This window comes from Homo sapiens, chromosome 7, assembly GCF_000001405.40.
Source record: "Homo sapiens chromosome 7, GRCh38.p14 Primary Assembly".
In the NCBI taxonomy this organism is placed as follows: domain Eukaryota; kingdom Metazoa; phylum Chordata; class Mammalia; order Primates; family Hominidae; genus Homo; species Homo sapiens.
The window spans coordinates 136,853,224-136,870,733 of record NC_000007.14 but is presented as its reverse complement, the minus strand read 5'-3'; the positions used below and the strand labels follow the sequence as shown (position 1 = coordinate 136,870,733).

Sequence of the window (17,510 nt, the reverse complement as noted above, 5' to 3'; positions counted from 1 at the left end):
GTGAAATGTCCACCGACAGTTCTGCTGGCTTTACGCGTTTACCTCCAATTCTCTGTTCTCCTCCAGCCTCTCTGCCCCTGGCGAACCTCCCTGCTGGTATTTCCGTACATGCAAGAGCCTTGGCATCATCGCCAGGGACTGGCGGGTCGGTGGACTCAGCCTGGGACAATTCTGTATCTCAGGGCAGCCTCGAGGACGGCAATGGGCAGGAAGATAGAGAAAGGGATGCGGATGCTGGAGGCGGACGGAGGCAAAGGGTGTGCCGCCGTGTGTGTCAATAATTCTGGGGAATTTTCACCTCTCCCAGATGAGTCTCTACTTACCCCGTGAGGGGCCCCAGGGGCGCCGGGCAGCGCGCACAGGTGGAATTTCTGCGCGTCTACCGGCACCAGGCATGGACCGCACCTGTCCGTGTCCGAGAGCTACAAGTTAGCGGCGATTGCCTGGGACCTCAGGTGCGGACTCCAAGGGACATTGCGGGCGGGGAGGGGTGCAGCGGTCCCCAGTCTACGACCCCGGGGACTGCCCGGGCGGTTCAGGACCCATTGTGAGTTAGGTGGCGAAGCCCAGGCACTGTCTGGTACCTCATGAGCTTCGGGCTGAGACCTTGTCCCCCAGCCACGGCGGACAGTCCAGCTCCTGCGCGGGGCTCAAATAGGATGGGATTGCAGAATGCTTCCCTCTCCTTTGTCTTGGGACCCTTTCCCCCATTCTAATTGCTTCTCCTCCTTGGCCATGACCTGGAGACCGCAATGGGAAACCTCTCCAGCGCCCAAGGGCTGCTCCGAAAGCGGAGCCGGGGGACAGCTCGGAGCCCGAGCGAGCCGGGCCTCCATCCCACACGCACAGAAGACGCGGTCAGACCCCAGCAGGAAGGAACCCGAGGGGCGGGAGGGACGAAGCTCTCCTTGTCTTGTCCATGGCTGCATCTGGAGTGGGTGGCGGGAGGGGGGTCAGCAACAGTAGAGGGAATGGGGGGCTGGAATAGGGAGCGACGCCGGGACAGCGCAGCTCCCAGGCTGCTTTCGCCACATTCGGCTGGACTCAGTGACCGTCGGAATCGTAGGGGTACCTCGCCTCGCGCTGTGCCTCGTTTGCCCCTTCCTTTCAGACCCGCCATCACTGCTCGCAACCCTCCAAGCCCCAGGATCCAAAGTTTCCGTTTGAGAATCTGCACGTGGGGAGGACCTCCCTCCAATTCCCCCAAGCCCCGACCCCTGAGCCTCCGGCTTGGGGGGATATGAAGGGAGAGACCCCCTGGTGCCAGGGCCCTTGGAGTGGGTAAGCGGAGAGCTGCACAGCGCGGGGCCCTTACCTGTCGCTGGTTTCGCTCCAGTTGCCTCCCCGGCTGCGAGGTGGTGGAGGCTTGAAGGAGCGAGGAGTCCTTTGTGGGTTCAGGGCCGATCCGCTCGGGCTGGAGCTGCGCACCGCTTAGAGTCCGAGGCCAGCTGCCGGTTCTCTTTCTCCCTTGATCTTGCAAAAGAAAAGGAAAAGATTAGTTGATGCCGAGACACTGTAGGGGTGGGGCGGGAGAGGCGGGAGAGGCGGGAGAGAACCGACCCCAAGGCTCTGGCGAGAGCTGCGGGGCTGGCGCGCGCGCAGGCAGAGTCACGCACCCCACACTCGTCTCAGCCACTTGGCTAGTCTGTGACCTGTTCGTGGTTTAGACTGGAGTTAAATTGACGCTGCCCCCGCCCTCCACGCCAAACCACTAAAGGAGAAGCAAACAAGACTTTCAAACCTGGCTTTCACGAAGAGCCTGGAGACCAAAATAGAATGGAGACCTGGATGCCTCGGCGAGCTGGGCTGGATTCATTTCTTCACCAAAGTGCTTGGGGAAGTAGGAATTAGTTTTGGGAGGCAACACCTATTCGGGTACCTCGGCGATTTCCTGGTGAAATCTGCGATTTCCAGGCTCTGGCCAACCCGCAGCCTGGAGTGTGTGAGTGTGTGTGTGTCTGTGTGTGTGTGTGTGTGTGTGTGTGTGCCCGCGCGCGCTCCCTAGGTCTTTGCGCCCTGGCGCCTTTAGTACAGCAGGAGAGCGTGTCTGTATTCGTGCGTGTGTGTTCGATTAGCTGCAATGGGCGGACAATTTCTGGAGAGAACATTTACAATTTTCTTTCAGTATGACAGGATTAGTTGCTGTTGAAGGCGCTCCTCCAATGAAATCTTCTGTGCTCTCTGATTTGGCGGTTCTTCTGAGCAAATATGACAGCCGTTTCTCCAGGCTCTTTTTCGCTTCTCTCCATTTCCATCCCCAGAGCCCAGCTCTCCATCTGCAATTTCTACATCAGAACCACCCCCAACCCCGAGTCCCTTCCCTGCAAGTGTGTGAGTGCTACAAAGGTGACATGGCATATTGGGAAGAACGCAGTATTGCTTTTTGTTTGTCGGAGATACTTAAGCCCAGTTTTTCCAGGTGGGAAAATGTTAGACTAAATCCACTATGCTTTGTAAATATATAATTGTGCTGAACTATTCACAGATTGTTTATTTCTTTGGAGCTTTGACAAATGTATCCGAAGGAGAAGTAATTTTTTTCTCTTACTTTAAATATGAGCCAGTGACCATGTTTTCTTCAGCTAATGGGCAGTAGACTACAGAATATATCTATATCTATATCTGTATCTATATCTATATTCAGAATATGTGTATATCCAGAATATATATATCTAGAATATATATATATATGTCCAGGATATATATATCCAGAATATATAGATATATATATCCAGAATATATATATATATATCCAGAATATATATATATATATCCAGAATATATATATATATCCAGAATATATATATATCCAGAATATATATATATATATATGTCCAGGATATATATATCCAGAATATATATATATATATATATATATATATATATATGTCCAGGATATATATATCCAGAATATATATATATATATCCAGAATATATATATATATATATGTCCAGGATATATATATCCAGAATATATATATATATGTCCAGGATATATATATCCAGAATATATATATGTCCAGAATATATATATATCCAGAAAATATATATATATCCAGAAAATATATATATATATCTCAAAAATATATATATATATATCTCTCTCAAAAAAAAAAATATATATATATATATATATCTCCAGAATATATATATGTTTGATGCTTCAGGGAATTTGTGATCTCCATGAAAAAAGATTTAGGATGCAAACTTTCTGTGTTCAGACCTGCCTTTGATGTTTATTTCTTTATTTTAATGAGAAATTTCTGCCAATAATTGTATCTATTATTTTTAGATACTAACCTCATTTGATAAAAGTACAATGATAGGATTCTAAAGTGTAGCTTAGGCCAAAACTTGCTTTTGTAAAAGCATATGTGTATGTGAATATAACATCAATATATTATATATTACATAGGCTTTATTTTCTCTCATCCAACTTCAATCAAATAAAGAGCAAGAAGTGGAAACCTTAAATTGAATAGCCCAGAATTGGACACATCACTTTTTGGGTCACAGGGATAGACAAAGAGCAAGTTAAAGATACATTGATATAATATAATATAGTCAATTAAATTCAGTTCAGTTCTTGACGTCCAGGGTTTTGCTAGGTATTAAAGGCCATCCACAAGAGCAAAAACCACTGTCCCTGTGTTTTTATAAGCTTCTATTCCTATTGACAAGAAAAGACACTTCATTTGAAACATCTATGTAACAGTTGACAATCCAATGATTAATTTTATAGCAATGTAAATTTATTGATAAATGGAAATGCTGTAGCTGAAAGTTTCTGCCCTTTTTGTTAACTCATAGCTATCACCAAGCAGGACTTGACACAAAGTTGATTTTGCTTGATTGAAGTCATCCTAAAATGCAGCATTACAATACTGTGTCTCTGCCTTCAACCTCCATACTTACATCCCACCATCACTGGGTGATTATAAGATACCTGTGAGAAAATCAAAACAGCCCTGCTAAGTCTTGTTCTCAGCCTCTCCCAGCATTTGTTCCACTACATTAAATATCTGATTTTGTCATCTCTCCTCTCTTAGACACTCTTTTCAGAATGAATTCACATTTTCCTTTTTTACTCCATTATTTCTGTCTACTGAGCCTCCATAAACCCATGAAGCTGCTTGAGTCTTTTGGAACACACACACAGACACACACCCATCAAAGCAAAAAAGTGAGGAGAAATAGATCCCTGGCCAGCAATAGACAGGAAAACCCAGTGATTTGTTACTTTTTTGTTCCTTTACATCATTAAGAACACTAAGCCCCCTTTTACTAATAAAGCTGCACATTCCAAAATGAGCAACCAAATAAATAACCAATGAAGGCAAACGAATATTTTTCTTAAACCTCAATAAAACAGAGTCTATGTGTGACTGAAGTGCTATGTTTAATAGAAGTCAGTATACTTAAGGCCTTTTGGAGAGGAGTTGCACAGGGAAGCATCATTTTTAGCCAACGGTCATCAATTATGTCCATTTTCTTTTTCTAGGTCATCACTTAGAACACATCTTTATATAGACTTGTAACTCTGCCATTCACTGTGATTTTAGGGAAGTTGTTTAACTTTTCTTTGCCTCAGCTTCTTAAACCATAAAATGGGTATAGCATACATGTCGGGGTTGGTAGGAGGGATAATGGAAGTAATTCATGTGAAATTCTTAAAAGAGCATGTGACACATAGCAAATTGCTATAAATATAACATTGTCGGTCAAGACTGAAAAATACAGTTTCTTGGGTCACACCTGTGACCTCTGAAACAGAGTATTAAGGAGTGATTCTTGACAATGCAAACCATAATGCTCATCACCATCATATAATTAACAAGATAAACATAATCCATCAGCATTCTGACCCCAGGGAACTTAATTCTTTTCTTCTTCTAGTTGCTGTTTCCATACAAGAAATGATCATGTGTATTCTGAGTGTTTTATTTTAATCTCTTAAGCCAGTTCGTTTTCTGAGGAAAAAAAAAAGAATACTCCCCACCCAAGGAATATAGCATTTATATGATTAGTAACTCTTGGTGTGGAACATTTTCGTTTGTCTGTTTTTCGTGAGATGGAGTCTCACTCCGTCGCCCAGGCTGGAGTGCAGTAGCATGATCTTGGGCTCACTGCAACCTCTGACTCCCAGGTTCAAGCAGTTCTACTGCCTCAGCCTCCCAAGTAGCTGGGATTACAGGCACCTGCCACTGCGCCCAGCTATTTTTGTATTTTTTGTAGATACGGCGTTTCACCGTGTTGGCCAGGCTGGTCTCGAATTCCTGACCTCAAGTGATCAGACTGCCTCGGCCTCCGAAAGTGCTGGGATTACAGGCGTGAGCCACCGTGCCGGCTGGTGTGGAACATTTTCAAAACTGCTTTTTAAATACTTTGTAAAATGCATCTATGAGATTTTTTTTTTAATCTACATTCCTCTTTTCCACCTCAAGGAACTCTAATAAATTAGTAATTTCTACTTATTAAGCCAAACTTCATTACATATAACCTTCAGACACACACTGAAGAGCTCTCAATGCCTGTGAAGGGTGACTTTGAATCTTTGACAAAGCTTTCGTTTGAATAAGATTATAAATAAGGTCACCACTAACATGAGAAGAAGGGGAAGCACAGGTCTCATTCCTGGGAGTGTGGCGCATATTTAACATGCCACATTGATTTCACTGCAGCAATAATTAGGCTTCAATAATTAGATGCACAAATCAGCACTCTATCATCATAAGTGGATTAAGAGGGTGACAAGTTCAACTCCAGTGATTTCCCACCAGGTATGGCAGTCATAACATTTTTAAAATTTTTTTTCTATTTTCAAGGAACCAAGAAAATGAAGTTGAGGGCTTTGCCTATATTGGGAAAATGAGCCAAGAGCAGATCTTGCCTTGTCCTTCATCTTCTACTCACACAGACTGTTTAAGAGTTAAATCAGGGAAGCACCGTATTTATCAGCAGGAGCTTTGGAAAAGGTGGGCTGATTTATCTGATGGATGCCAAAGAAACCTTTCTTTTCCTTGACCTCAGTTTGAAATATAACAATCCTGGGTTAAAAGTAGATCTCCGCTAAATGACAATCACTACTTACAATGGGTTCTTCAATTGTCTCTTACTGTTTTGAAATCTTAATAATGGTTTCATAATACACACATTATTCTTCCTAGAATTATTTATTTTTTCCTACAGACCTTCCCAGAGAGTAATTTAAAAGCTTCTATTCTTTAGCTTAAAAAGATGATCTGTTTTTATTCTAGAAAATCCTGAGCTTTTCTTTTTCAGACCCTGCAATTGAAGTTTTCATATACAAATAGGACTGATTCTGAGGGATAATGTTTAGTGACAGTGTGACAAACAATGCTTTGTTATTTTTTTTCTTTTCCACGAAGTTTGGCATCACAGATGTTTTCAACTCTTTTCTCTCATAGCAGCGATAGTGTTACCCAATGCCTGAAAACATTTACTGCTGCTGAGTATAAAATATTTAAAATACAGGGCTCTTTTGCAGACAGGGACTATGAAGAAGGGAGAAAAAGCAGAGATGGGAGGGGAAGTGCACCACCCTGCAAAATGCTAAACAGCTGCAATGGTGATAAATCAGTGTTAAGAATACAGAAGGAAAAGGTCACATGGGATGCTTGTCTCCTTAGAGAAGCATTTAGTGTATGTGTGTTCCTCCTACCAGGAGGTAAGCTGAGCGCTGCTTCAGAAGCGAACCTCTAAGACAGGGTGAACTTGAAAGTTTCAACAACTACCTCAGTGTATATTTTCACAAACAGCCTACATTTCCCCTTTTTACAGGCAAAGTTAAATGCTGGAATCTCAGATGAAGATAAGATTCTAGCAAATTCAAAGTGAAAGTCTTATGATACTCTTCTATATGCATGAGGTCTCAGATTATTTGAATCAGTAATCTTTGTGCAGGAAAGAGTCATCTAGGAATACTTAAAATCTTTTGAGTCTGTAGAGAAACCTGTGCTTACTCATGGGAATTCACATAATTGCTCAGATCATACAACATACCAATTTCTTAAGCCAACTAAAGGGAAAAGCTAGAAATGCTAACACATTCTAAAGAAATAAATCCTGGGTGCCATCACAACATTGGACCACTTCCTGATTAAATTTGACCTACCTCTATTTCTTGAGAGTGACTGGAATAATTGTGATGCAAAAGCTGCACGTTGCTAAGTAAGACTTAACTGAGTGTGTCTGATACTGTAATATCACTTCATATAGATCTTTTCACTTTAAAAACACACTCCCCTAGCAGTGTGTCCAAGGCAGCATACTCTAAACCATTCCGTGATTTACTGTGCCTAAGACAAATCCTGTCTTTTCATTATTTAACCAGCAAAGTGATGGCGTGTTAGGCTTAAGGACCTCATTTACAAAATCTCATGGGCAATATTTCATAAATCCCTGCAGAAAGGAATGAGGCAAGGCCCTAGGCATAGTTATTGTGTGTGTTCCATTCCTACAAGGCTTTTATTGGCAAGTGTTTTTCTAGAAATTGAATTGGTTTTGAAAGCATGCCCAATAAGCATGTATTATTTGCAATCATTGAATGTCTTCAATAACAAGCACTCTAAATCTACCTTGAGAGGTCCAGAGGTGGCACAAGGTACTCCCCTTTTATTATGCCAGAATATGGAGTAGACAGTTTCTCTCACTTGATAGCAAATCCTGGACAAATTTCTTTCTTAAGCAAGTCTCACATAAACAAAATGCCTGTGCTTTGCTTTCCTTCTACTATATTGTAAGTTTCAGTGGGTCCTCGTGAGAATGCCAGATTGCATCTCTGAGAATTATGTTTCTCAGCAGCCCACCACAGACCAGACTTGAAGCATCAGGATTTGTCCAGCAAATATTTATATATCATTCAATATTCTCTTAGATATTAGGATTAAGTCTGCAAAAACAAGGAAGCTTTCCTGCCCTCTGGAAGCTAAGTTGGAGAGAACAAACAAAAATATATATATATTATTATTATTAGGCACCTCCAATAAAATCTGTGCTGTCATAACCCATGGGGGATTCAGTAAAGAGCCTTGACTCTTCATTAGGGAACTAATTCCAGAGGTAGATTATAGCTGAGTTACACTCTACCTAGAATTTGGAAGCTATGCTAAGTTAAATCTGTGGGTAAAATACTCTGGATGATGAAGCAATACATACAATATTTAAGGCAATCACCAGGAAATTACTGCTAAAACTGAAGACATCTATTAATGACCAACTAGCAAAACCTTGGGCCCATGCTTTATAATATCCAGAGTGGGAAAAAGTATCCAAAAATTATTGAATATTATGTCTCATTTCTGAAGTTAATTAATGGAGAAGCCTAAGAAGGGCAATAACACTCCCACACACTCTTTGTCCAGAGTGCTATGTTCTAGGATGTACTTCCAATCGCCTAGTTTCTCTGTAGCTATTTATTTATTTATTTTTTCTTTTTACTTTTGTGTTTTGGAAGCAATTAAGCTGACTGCAAACTTACTTAGCAATGTGTGTCTCTGGCACATGGTCACTTCTGTAATTTCTTGAGAAGAAAACTCTTGGCTGTGGCTGTTACAGCTTATTCTAATTACATAATGGCATTGGGATAGGGATAATGTAACTAAGAACTGGAATGCAGTTGCTGTTCACAGCATTGACTGAAAGGAATAAAAACCCGTTTTGAGCTGTAGTATATACCTTCAGCTTGCAGAATAACAGTAGGCTTATCTCTGGGAATGTTCTCTCGGGTTTCTTTGCAGCATGCCCCAGAGCTGGTCCATAGTGATAAGTGAGAGAATGGGAAATGGGCAGGGATGCAAACTTTCAAGGTGAAAGTGGAAAAATAAGCCACCCAGTTTCTAAGAAGAGCTGTGCTGCATAGAAAGCCTCTGTGCTATTATCTCTAAATTAGGGTCACCTGTGCAATACTAGGAGCGGTGAAGAAGATGGACAAATGGTAAGGTATAAATGATAGAATTGCTTTTAGGGCCAAAACTTTGGATAGATGGGATCATCTATCAAATAAAGAAAAGGAAACACCAGTGATTCCTTCATCTGTGGGGTAAGGATATACCTATATTATTTTCTGGTGTCATTTGAGGGAACAAGATTAACTCTTGCCTAAAACTTTCCTTATCTCCAGATACATATTGCCTTATATTGTTCTAAGTAGATTCTCTCATCAGCTCCTGGTATGAAATATCATATCAAGGTACCCCTTGTCTTTATACAACTTTCAATGAAGAAAGATGAAAATTCTACTCTAAAGCAAAGATTCCTGTTCTGCCTGAAGTCAAGTGCAGAGCTCCAGCAGTTGCTTAATTCCGGCTTCCAAAGCCAAGAGCAGTGGTATCTGTAACTATAAAAACTAGCTTCTCAAGCTCAAGACCATGACTGTGTTCCGATAACGAGATGAGATAGACTGACTCCCTATAATTCTGTGCATTTATAGAAGAAACTCTGATTTTTCTTCTTGACCACCTAATTCAGAACCATTTTCTCATTCTAAGCCTTTTTGTCTTTAAATATTCTTTTTGGCTCAATTGCTACTATGTTCTTATGCATCCCAACTACCAGCTGGAGATTTACCAAATAATCTTGACCTCAACTCTATGTACTAGTGTTTCTGTGTAAGTTTAGACCTAGACTCCTCCTTCTTAAATTAAAAAAATAATAATTCTGATCTGCACTGTGATCCCATTGTTTTTAAACCTGATAATACTTCTTATAAATTGGGGTGTGGCCAATGCAGCAGGCGTGCAAGCATAGTGGACCTTTCCCCCGATGGCTGAGTCAGTTTTAAGTATATTCAATTTCAACTCTAGTTTGATGTGGTTACTTGCTTACAACTTGTTATAACAGTTATAGGGAACATTTCTTAGTATATCACTAGATGAATATGATGATGATTCTCATGGAAGATTTTTTCAAACTTAAATTATGAGTTGTCTTTGTCATTGGGCTTATTATTTTTGGCCAGAATACTAATATACATATTAACGTAAATACAATGTTTATACATAATTAAAAATAACCCCATAACATTAAAAGCATTTTGTACTATGACTGCTTAGTGATGATAACTTTCCTGGAAAGTGAGAGTTAGTTGGTAAAATTTTTTTTTTTTTTTTTTTTTTTGAGACAGACTCTTGCTTTTTCGCCCAGGCTGGAGTGCAATGCCGTGATCTCGGCTCACTGCAACCTCTGCCTCTTGGGTTCAAATGACTCTCCTGCCTCAGCCTCCCGAGTAGCTGGAATTACAGGTGCCTGCCACCACACCTGGCTAATTTTTGTATTTTTAGTAGAGACGGAGTTTCACCACTTTGGCCAGGCTGGTCTTGAACTCCTGACCTCAGGTGACCACCCACCATGGCCTCCCAAGGTAAATTTTCTTATTGTATTCTCTCTTCTGTACAGAATTTCCGATTGCTATTTTTGTTTCTAATCTTGATCTATCTTTCCTGCAAGTAATTTAGGAACTAAGCATAAAGCATTGGATTAAAAGACTAATAAAGATGGTAAAATAAAAGTAAATTTTAAAAATGATTGCATCACTTAGTGAAATTAGAAGTCCTAATGGAGTCAACACTCATGATCTAAAAAAAAAAAAAAAAAAAAAAAAAAGACTAAGAATGAGATTCCTATGCTCACCCCAAAGTACATCGATGGAAGCATGGGAAACCAAGATAAGAGCTGTCAGGAAAAGGAAATGAGACACTGCTGTTTTGTAACTCCTTCACTAAACTACCAGAAACTACAGCATGGCTCTCATACTAAGCTGAAAGTTCTCAGCTCCTCATATGCAGCTTATAAACCTGTTCTATTTAGCTTTTAAGGAAACTAAGTATTGAAAACAAAAATAGTTCTGACAAGGCTTCTATTTCTTTCTTTTTGCTTGCTTTCTCCCTTGTGTGGTGACAGTTCTCTCTGTGAGCCTCTTTAGAAACCTGATGGCACACACAAAAAGAATTTACTCGAAATAGTCTGGGGGTGTTGTGATGGAGTGGAGGGAATCGAAATGTATAGCAGTCTAGTTGCTAAGGATAAAGGTCAGAGTCTAATACCCAAAACCGGCGTGTCACAGTGCCTCTCAAAATGAATCTGTGGCAAACCATAAAAATTAATCTAAATGCTTTATTACAAATATAAATAGCACTGTCTGTGCCTGTTTTACAAAGCACAGAAGTGCAAGGGGGACAGCATTTTTAAAGCATTTCTATGTGACTGTGTATAAACATGCAGAGTGTTTGTTTAGCTTTCAGTTATCCCTGAAGAATAAAAGCTACTCTCTAGTACAAATAAAACTTCAAAATACAATTTGAAACCACATAAATTTGAAGGTGAATGGTTACTTAGGGGCAAATCTTAAGTCTGTGTTCACCTTTTCCTAAGTCTATACCATCATCACAAATGTTTATATTTTTCCTCCGTATTGACCATCTTGACTCATTTAAAAATAACTCCCGAAATATTTGTTCATTTAAGTGCGCAATTCTGCGTAATGAGATCAGCAAATGGTGAACTTCAGCTTCTTACAAAAAGAATGTACTTTGTACACATTACACAGTATTGCCCTATTACAATGGAATGAACTGGGTGAATATGCACCTGGTCACATCTGAAAACAATTTCTTAAATTAGGTCACCTGGAGCATCAAAATACCCCTTGCATCACATACTTACAGGAATGTCATTTGGCCAACATCAAGCAATAAACTTATTTAATATTTTCAGATTACCCTGGTAATGTAAATTTATCACCTCAAGCTTTATGAATTAAAAAAAAGTTAACCACGTGATAGATTTTTCTAATTGTATTACAATATGGCCTGTCTTCCCAAATGGAATGCAATAGTGAAGTCAAGTAGAAAGTGCCTGTATCCTCATGTCAATTATTCTATATTATATGACCTTGACTAAGTAATTTAACCCATCCATGCCTCACTTTATTTATCCATAAAAAGATATTGCATCCATCCTGATTCCAAGATTATTTAAAAATAGTTTAATATCCCAAGATTTATTATTATATATATCTTTATATATGTGTATATATATCTTTATATATATGTGTATATATATACATCTTTATACATATGTGTGTATATACATATATATATACACACACACACATAAGCCACTTGTTCATCAGGTTTTGATTAATTTTATGATAACTTTTGTAATCTGAAATGTTTATATTTACTGAGTTTGATAGGCAAATAATGTCCCCTTCCCCAAGATGTCCACATTTAAATCTTTAGAAACTATGAATGTGTTACTGTATATGGCAAGAAAATAATTTACATGAAAAATAGACATAAGGCTGCAAATCAGCTAACCTTAAGATAGACAGATTATCTTGTCTTAGTCAGGTAGGCCCAATGTAATCAGAAGTGACGATAAAAGTGGGTGACCAAGGCAGAAGACTCTGTATCAGAGTGAGGGGATATGAGAATAATATGACCGGCCATTGCTGGCTTTGCAGATTGAAGGAGCCATGAGCTAAATAATGCATGCAGCTTCTAAAAGCTGGAAAATATCACAAAACTGATTTTCTCCTAGAGCCTCCAGAATGAATGCAGGCCTACTGGCACAGATTTTGGCCCAGTGAGATCTGTGTGAAACTTCTGAACTATAAGATAAGATAATAATTGTGGATTTTTAAGCAAACAGCATTATGGTGGCCACAGCCATAGGAAACAAATATACGAAGTTTCTCCCATGATCATAGAAAATAATTTAGGTACTGTATGCTATTTATCCAAATTTCCACGTGGGTACCTTATGTTAGTGATAATATAATTGTGCCAAGTATTTTCCCAAATGTCTCAGTCAAGTATAGTTGTTACACTAACCATCCTAGGATGGGGCAGGAGGAATGCAAAAGTTTTGAGGAAGCAGTTTATTGATACTAAAAATTCAGCACTTGGGACAGTTCAGCCATTATTTCTAGTTTTGAGTCAGTACCTTGGAGAGTGGACAGGACACATTCTTTCATAGATTATCAGAATAGACCTAGATGGTCACTTATTCTGTGGACTAAACTTCTGCCAAGATCACCGAGATGTGGGGAGTGATTATGCTGATTGTAACCTGAGAAAAAAATATGAAGTTGCCTCCACTTTAAAGTAGTTCTTGCCGCAAAATCAAGTCCCTTCATCTGAGCTTTGCCAAACCCAGCTGGAGCCAAAATGTTAGATGATTTTTGACCCAATGCTGCACTTCACATGCAGGTTCTGTGAAATTTCCAAGTTGGAGTTGCCTTTTCTGTGTCTCCGCATGTGCTGGTCTCAGTCCCTGCCTTTGCTTATAATCTATCTTTACTGTTGAGTAAGGATCTTGACTTAGAATAAAGCAAACTGAGCTCACTACTAGAAGGGTTGGATAGATGAAGGTATGAGCCAAAATAGGCCATCACGATTTATTCACTCATTCACTTAGTAAACAATATTGATTTACTGCTTTACAGATACCATGTATGATTCTACATGCTAGAGATAAAGGCTGACTAAGACAAAGTCTTGCTTACATAGGCCTCTTGTGGGCAGAGGCAGAAGGTGAATAACATCAAAAATATATAATGTAATATGATGTAATAATGTCAAAAAATAATATTTACTATAAAATGTAAAAGTAAATAAAGAAACTATTCTAAGTTGTTACATATTATGCTTTTTTTCCAAATATTCATAGTTCTCCCTCTTTGCAGGTACAAGGTAAGATTGCAGATTGCAGTTGTGGTGAGATAGGGCCATGTGAATAGTTTTCCTTGTGAGATGTGAGTGGCACGTTGATGTGACTCCAAGTTGAGCATCTAATTACCAGCATGAGAGCTTCTCAAGCTCTCTTTTCTCTTCCGTACAGCAACAGCAATATTTAAGATGGTAGCTTGAATCCCTGAATTATTCCTGCAACCACCATGGAAACAACATAGTGGAAATGTGAATAAAACTTTGTTGTTTTCTGACACAGGTATTTGCTTTTCCTATCACAGAATAATGTATTCTATTCTGACTTATAATCAAGGGAGGTATGATACTAGGATCTGAAATTGTAGCAGAGACCTGAGTGATGGTAATAAGTGAGTGATGCTAAATTCCTGGGGGAAAATATTTCAGGCAGAAGAAAAGCGATAGTGTAAAAAATTACAGATAGGTTTAATACAGATCCCAAGAAGGTGATGCACCACCCTGAACCAAATGCAGACATGGATCCTAGCTCTAAAAAATGCCTGGTGCTTTCCTTGCCCTATTTATTGTCTAATCATATCCATTTCTTTATATGTTAATATTGCTTTTGAAAAACATGGCAGACATTGCAACCAGTATTAAAATTTTTATAAACCCAACTCTAGACTTCCAGCTAAGGATCTAACTTATTTCTTACCTATAAAATTATTCTATTCACGTTTTTGCCACTCTCTTTACACCCTAACCAAAATTATTCTTATAATTTTCATTGTAACCCTGGGGACAATGCTTAGGAGCCCAGGTAGTCTGTGAATCACTGCAATCTCAGTATTTTCATTTATTCCTTTAGCAACTATAATATCCTTGATTCTAAACAAAACACTTCGGATAAAATAGTAAACAAAGATAGAACGTACAGTATAGTGGAGGAGACAAATATTCAGCCAATAATCACACAAATTCAAAGGAAAATTACAACTACAAAAATATAATGGAAGGAAGTCACATTGTTTTGAGTATACAGTAGGGAGATTTGAGTCTCCTCTGTAAGAGAAGGCTTGCCTGGGGAAGTGAAGCCTAAATTAACATCTCAAAGATGAGAAGGAATTAATCAGGTGAAGACTGGAAAGAAATGTTTGCTACAAAAAGGGAACAGCAGGTCAAGTGTTCTGTGGCAGTAGGAGGATGGAAAGTAGAAAAAAACTATGAAGGACCCAGAAAGACGAAGGAAGAAGATTTGTGGGATATTTTTCATGAAAAGGAATGGGTCAGGCAGGTATGGAAGAGGGAGGCCATGCAAAGTTCTCTAGCCATGTTTAGAAATACTATCTTTTTATTGAAATTGGTGGGAACCTATAGGAGGGTTTACACGGGCATGGGAATGAATAACTATAATCAAATGAGTTTCAAAAAAATGTTCTGACTACAGCAGGGAAATTGGGTTGGAGGAAGGCAAGAGCAAATATAAATAGATCAACATGTAGATTCGATAAAGAAAATGTGGTACATATACAGCATGGAATACTATGCAGTTATAAAAAGGAGTGAGATCATGTTCTTTGCAGGGACATGGATGAAGCTGGAAGCCATCATCCTCAGCAAATTAACACATGAACCGAAAACCAAACACTGCATGTTCTCTCATAAGTGGGAGTCGAACAACGAAAATACATGGACACAGGGTGGGGAACAACACATACCGGGGCCTGTTGGGGGTGGGGGTGAGAAGAGGGAGAGCATTAGGACACAGAGCTAACGTATGCGGGGCTTAAAACCATGATGACTGGTTGATAGTTGCAGCAAACCACCATGGCACACATATACCTATGTAACAAACCTGCACGTTCTGCACTTGTATCCTGGAACTTAAAGTTAAAAAAAATATAGATCCACATGGCCATAGTGTAAGTTCGATTAACAGATAATGGCATAATGGTAGGAAAGTTCGATTAACTTTGCTGGCATAATGGTAGGAATAAAGGGGTGACTTCCAAAGTATTTTATGAGTTGAATTTTATGAAATCTGGTGTAGATTTGTTATGGTTGGAGGAAGAGAGATTTGAGGATAACACCCTGCAACCTGAAGTGGTCATACCATTCACTGAGAATCCTGGAAGAGAACAAAGCTCTCAGAGGAGGTCTCATGTTGGACACATTGAATTTGAAAGACTTTTGGGAACATTAAGAAGGAGTGTCAACTAGAGAGTTGCAAATACAGACCCGGAGCTCAAAATAGAGGTCTAAGCTAGATGTATGACCTTGTGATTCGTTTGCTCCTAGGTGGTAACTGAAGTTGTGGGCAAGGCTGACTGCCTAGGGGGAGATCATAGAAGGGACAGGAAGCTAGGGAGACAAAAGGAAGATCAGCAGAGCAAACAGGGAAGGGTCAGCAGGTGCATGGGTGGAACTCGAGCTGGATCAAGACAAATATCAGAAAATCAGGGTTCTGCCCACCATTGTCTTGGGATAAGGTTTTAAAGAATTTGTACCACAGCACACAAGTTCTTCATGAGAGAATGTACATCAATAAGTCTTTCAGATGATCTGATTAGAGAATAAAGGATAGCTATCTTCAAATTTGGCTACTGTTCTTTTCCTCACAATTTGTCCCAAAGTTGAGTGATTATAAGTCAGAGTTGTATTCTATGAACAAGATCATCCCAAACCTTCAGTGTACTGAGACATGCAGTCTGATGATTAGCATACTTGTGGGAACAGGACACTGGCTGATCTTATGTTTCAGTACTAAAATAAAGCAATATCCCGCTTAGTCAGAAGACAGACTTCCAGCAAATGCAACACTCAGAACACATCTATAAACCCGGAAAAGCAAACAAGCAAACAGACATCTCCTGAGCTTTAAAAATAGATATTAAAAAATACCATAAAATATGTTTTGTGAGGGAATTCCTCAGACACGTACACACATTCATTTTTTTTCTTATTTTATATAAAACTCTTACAGACTCTATTATCTGATTTCTCAACCAGTAGACAATTAACTGCATCCAATTATAAGGAGTAAGGAACTGTTGGAAGCAGACATACAGACAATAAGGAGAATGGACAAGTAGAGTCCTGAAAAGAGTTAAAAAAAAAAAAAGAATAAAAATATCAATAACAAAAAGTCATCCCAACAACTCAGGAAGCAGAGCTCTCTGGGGCCGTAGCCAGAGCACACAATCATTCTTGCCCTGGTGGCCTTTTAGTCGTTTATATATATTACAAGTTGGCAAAATACTTTGAGTCATCCTGATAATCCCAAGGCTGATTATGCTAAGTACACTCTTTAAGAGGGCAAAAAAGCTCATATACATTTAATATTAATATCCTTAGTTAAGAAAAGGACAGTACTTGAAGAGATAAACTTTAGTCATCTTTAAAATTAACCTTTTTGAGTCTCTCATTTCCATGTGAGCTAGATAGATATATAAGCCTGGATTAATCACTGCATTAGCTAATAGTCCTTCTTGCCTTTAGATAGTAGCTGGGAGCATATTTAAACAGTGTATTTGTTTGCTAGAGCTTCAGGAACAGAGAATCACAAATTGGGTGGCTTAAACAGCAGAAAAATGTGATCTCACAGCTCTGAAGGCCAGAAGCTCAAAATCAAGGTGTTGCCAGGATTAGTTCCTTCTGAGAGCTATGAGAGAAGGATCTGTTCTGGGCTTCTCTCTTTGGCTTGTAGATAGTGGTGTTGATGTTCATCTGGTGTTCTTCCTGTATGAGAGTCTGTCTCCAAATTTGCCCTTTACATAAGGACACCAGTCATATTGGTTTAGGTCCCATTCCAATGACCTCATTTTAACTTGGTAAAGATCC

The 17,510-nt window shown here is 39.5% G+C and overlaps 1 protein-coding gene across 10 annotated transcripts in view, besides 1 other annotated feature; it reads right to left on the bottom strand.

The window, feature by feature from the left end:
* CHRM2 (cholinergic receptor muscarinic 2) overlaps positions 1 to 2,082 on the bottom strand; it is a 151,562-nt gene extending 149,480 nt beyond the window's left edge. For 3 of the 10 annotated variants that reach the window (NM_001378972.1, NM_001006630.2, NM_001006627.3), the window contains exons 1-2: positions 1,742 to 2,082; positions 1,316 to 1,473 (exon numbers count right to left, since the gene is read on the bottom strand). The gene's annotated coding sequence lies outside the window, so the exon portion shown is untranslated. Of the gene's footprint in view, positions 1 to 1,315; positions 1,489 to 1,560; positions 1,650 to 1,741 lie in introns of those variants that run through there. The other 7 variants (NM_001006626.3, NM_000739.3, NM_001006632.3 and 4 more) reach the window with 3 other exon arrangements.
* Positions 641 to 1,403: an enhancer, noted in NCBI's record as "H3K4me1 hESC enhancer chr7:136554078-136554840 (GRCh37/hg19 assembly coordinates)". NCBI's record gives its function as "activates a minimal SCP1, AML or CMV promoter by ChIP-STARR-seq in primed H9 embryonic stem cells {active_cell/tissue: H9 hESC(primed)}" and the evidence as "EXISTENCE:reporter gene assay evidence [ECO:0000049][PMID:30033119]".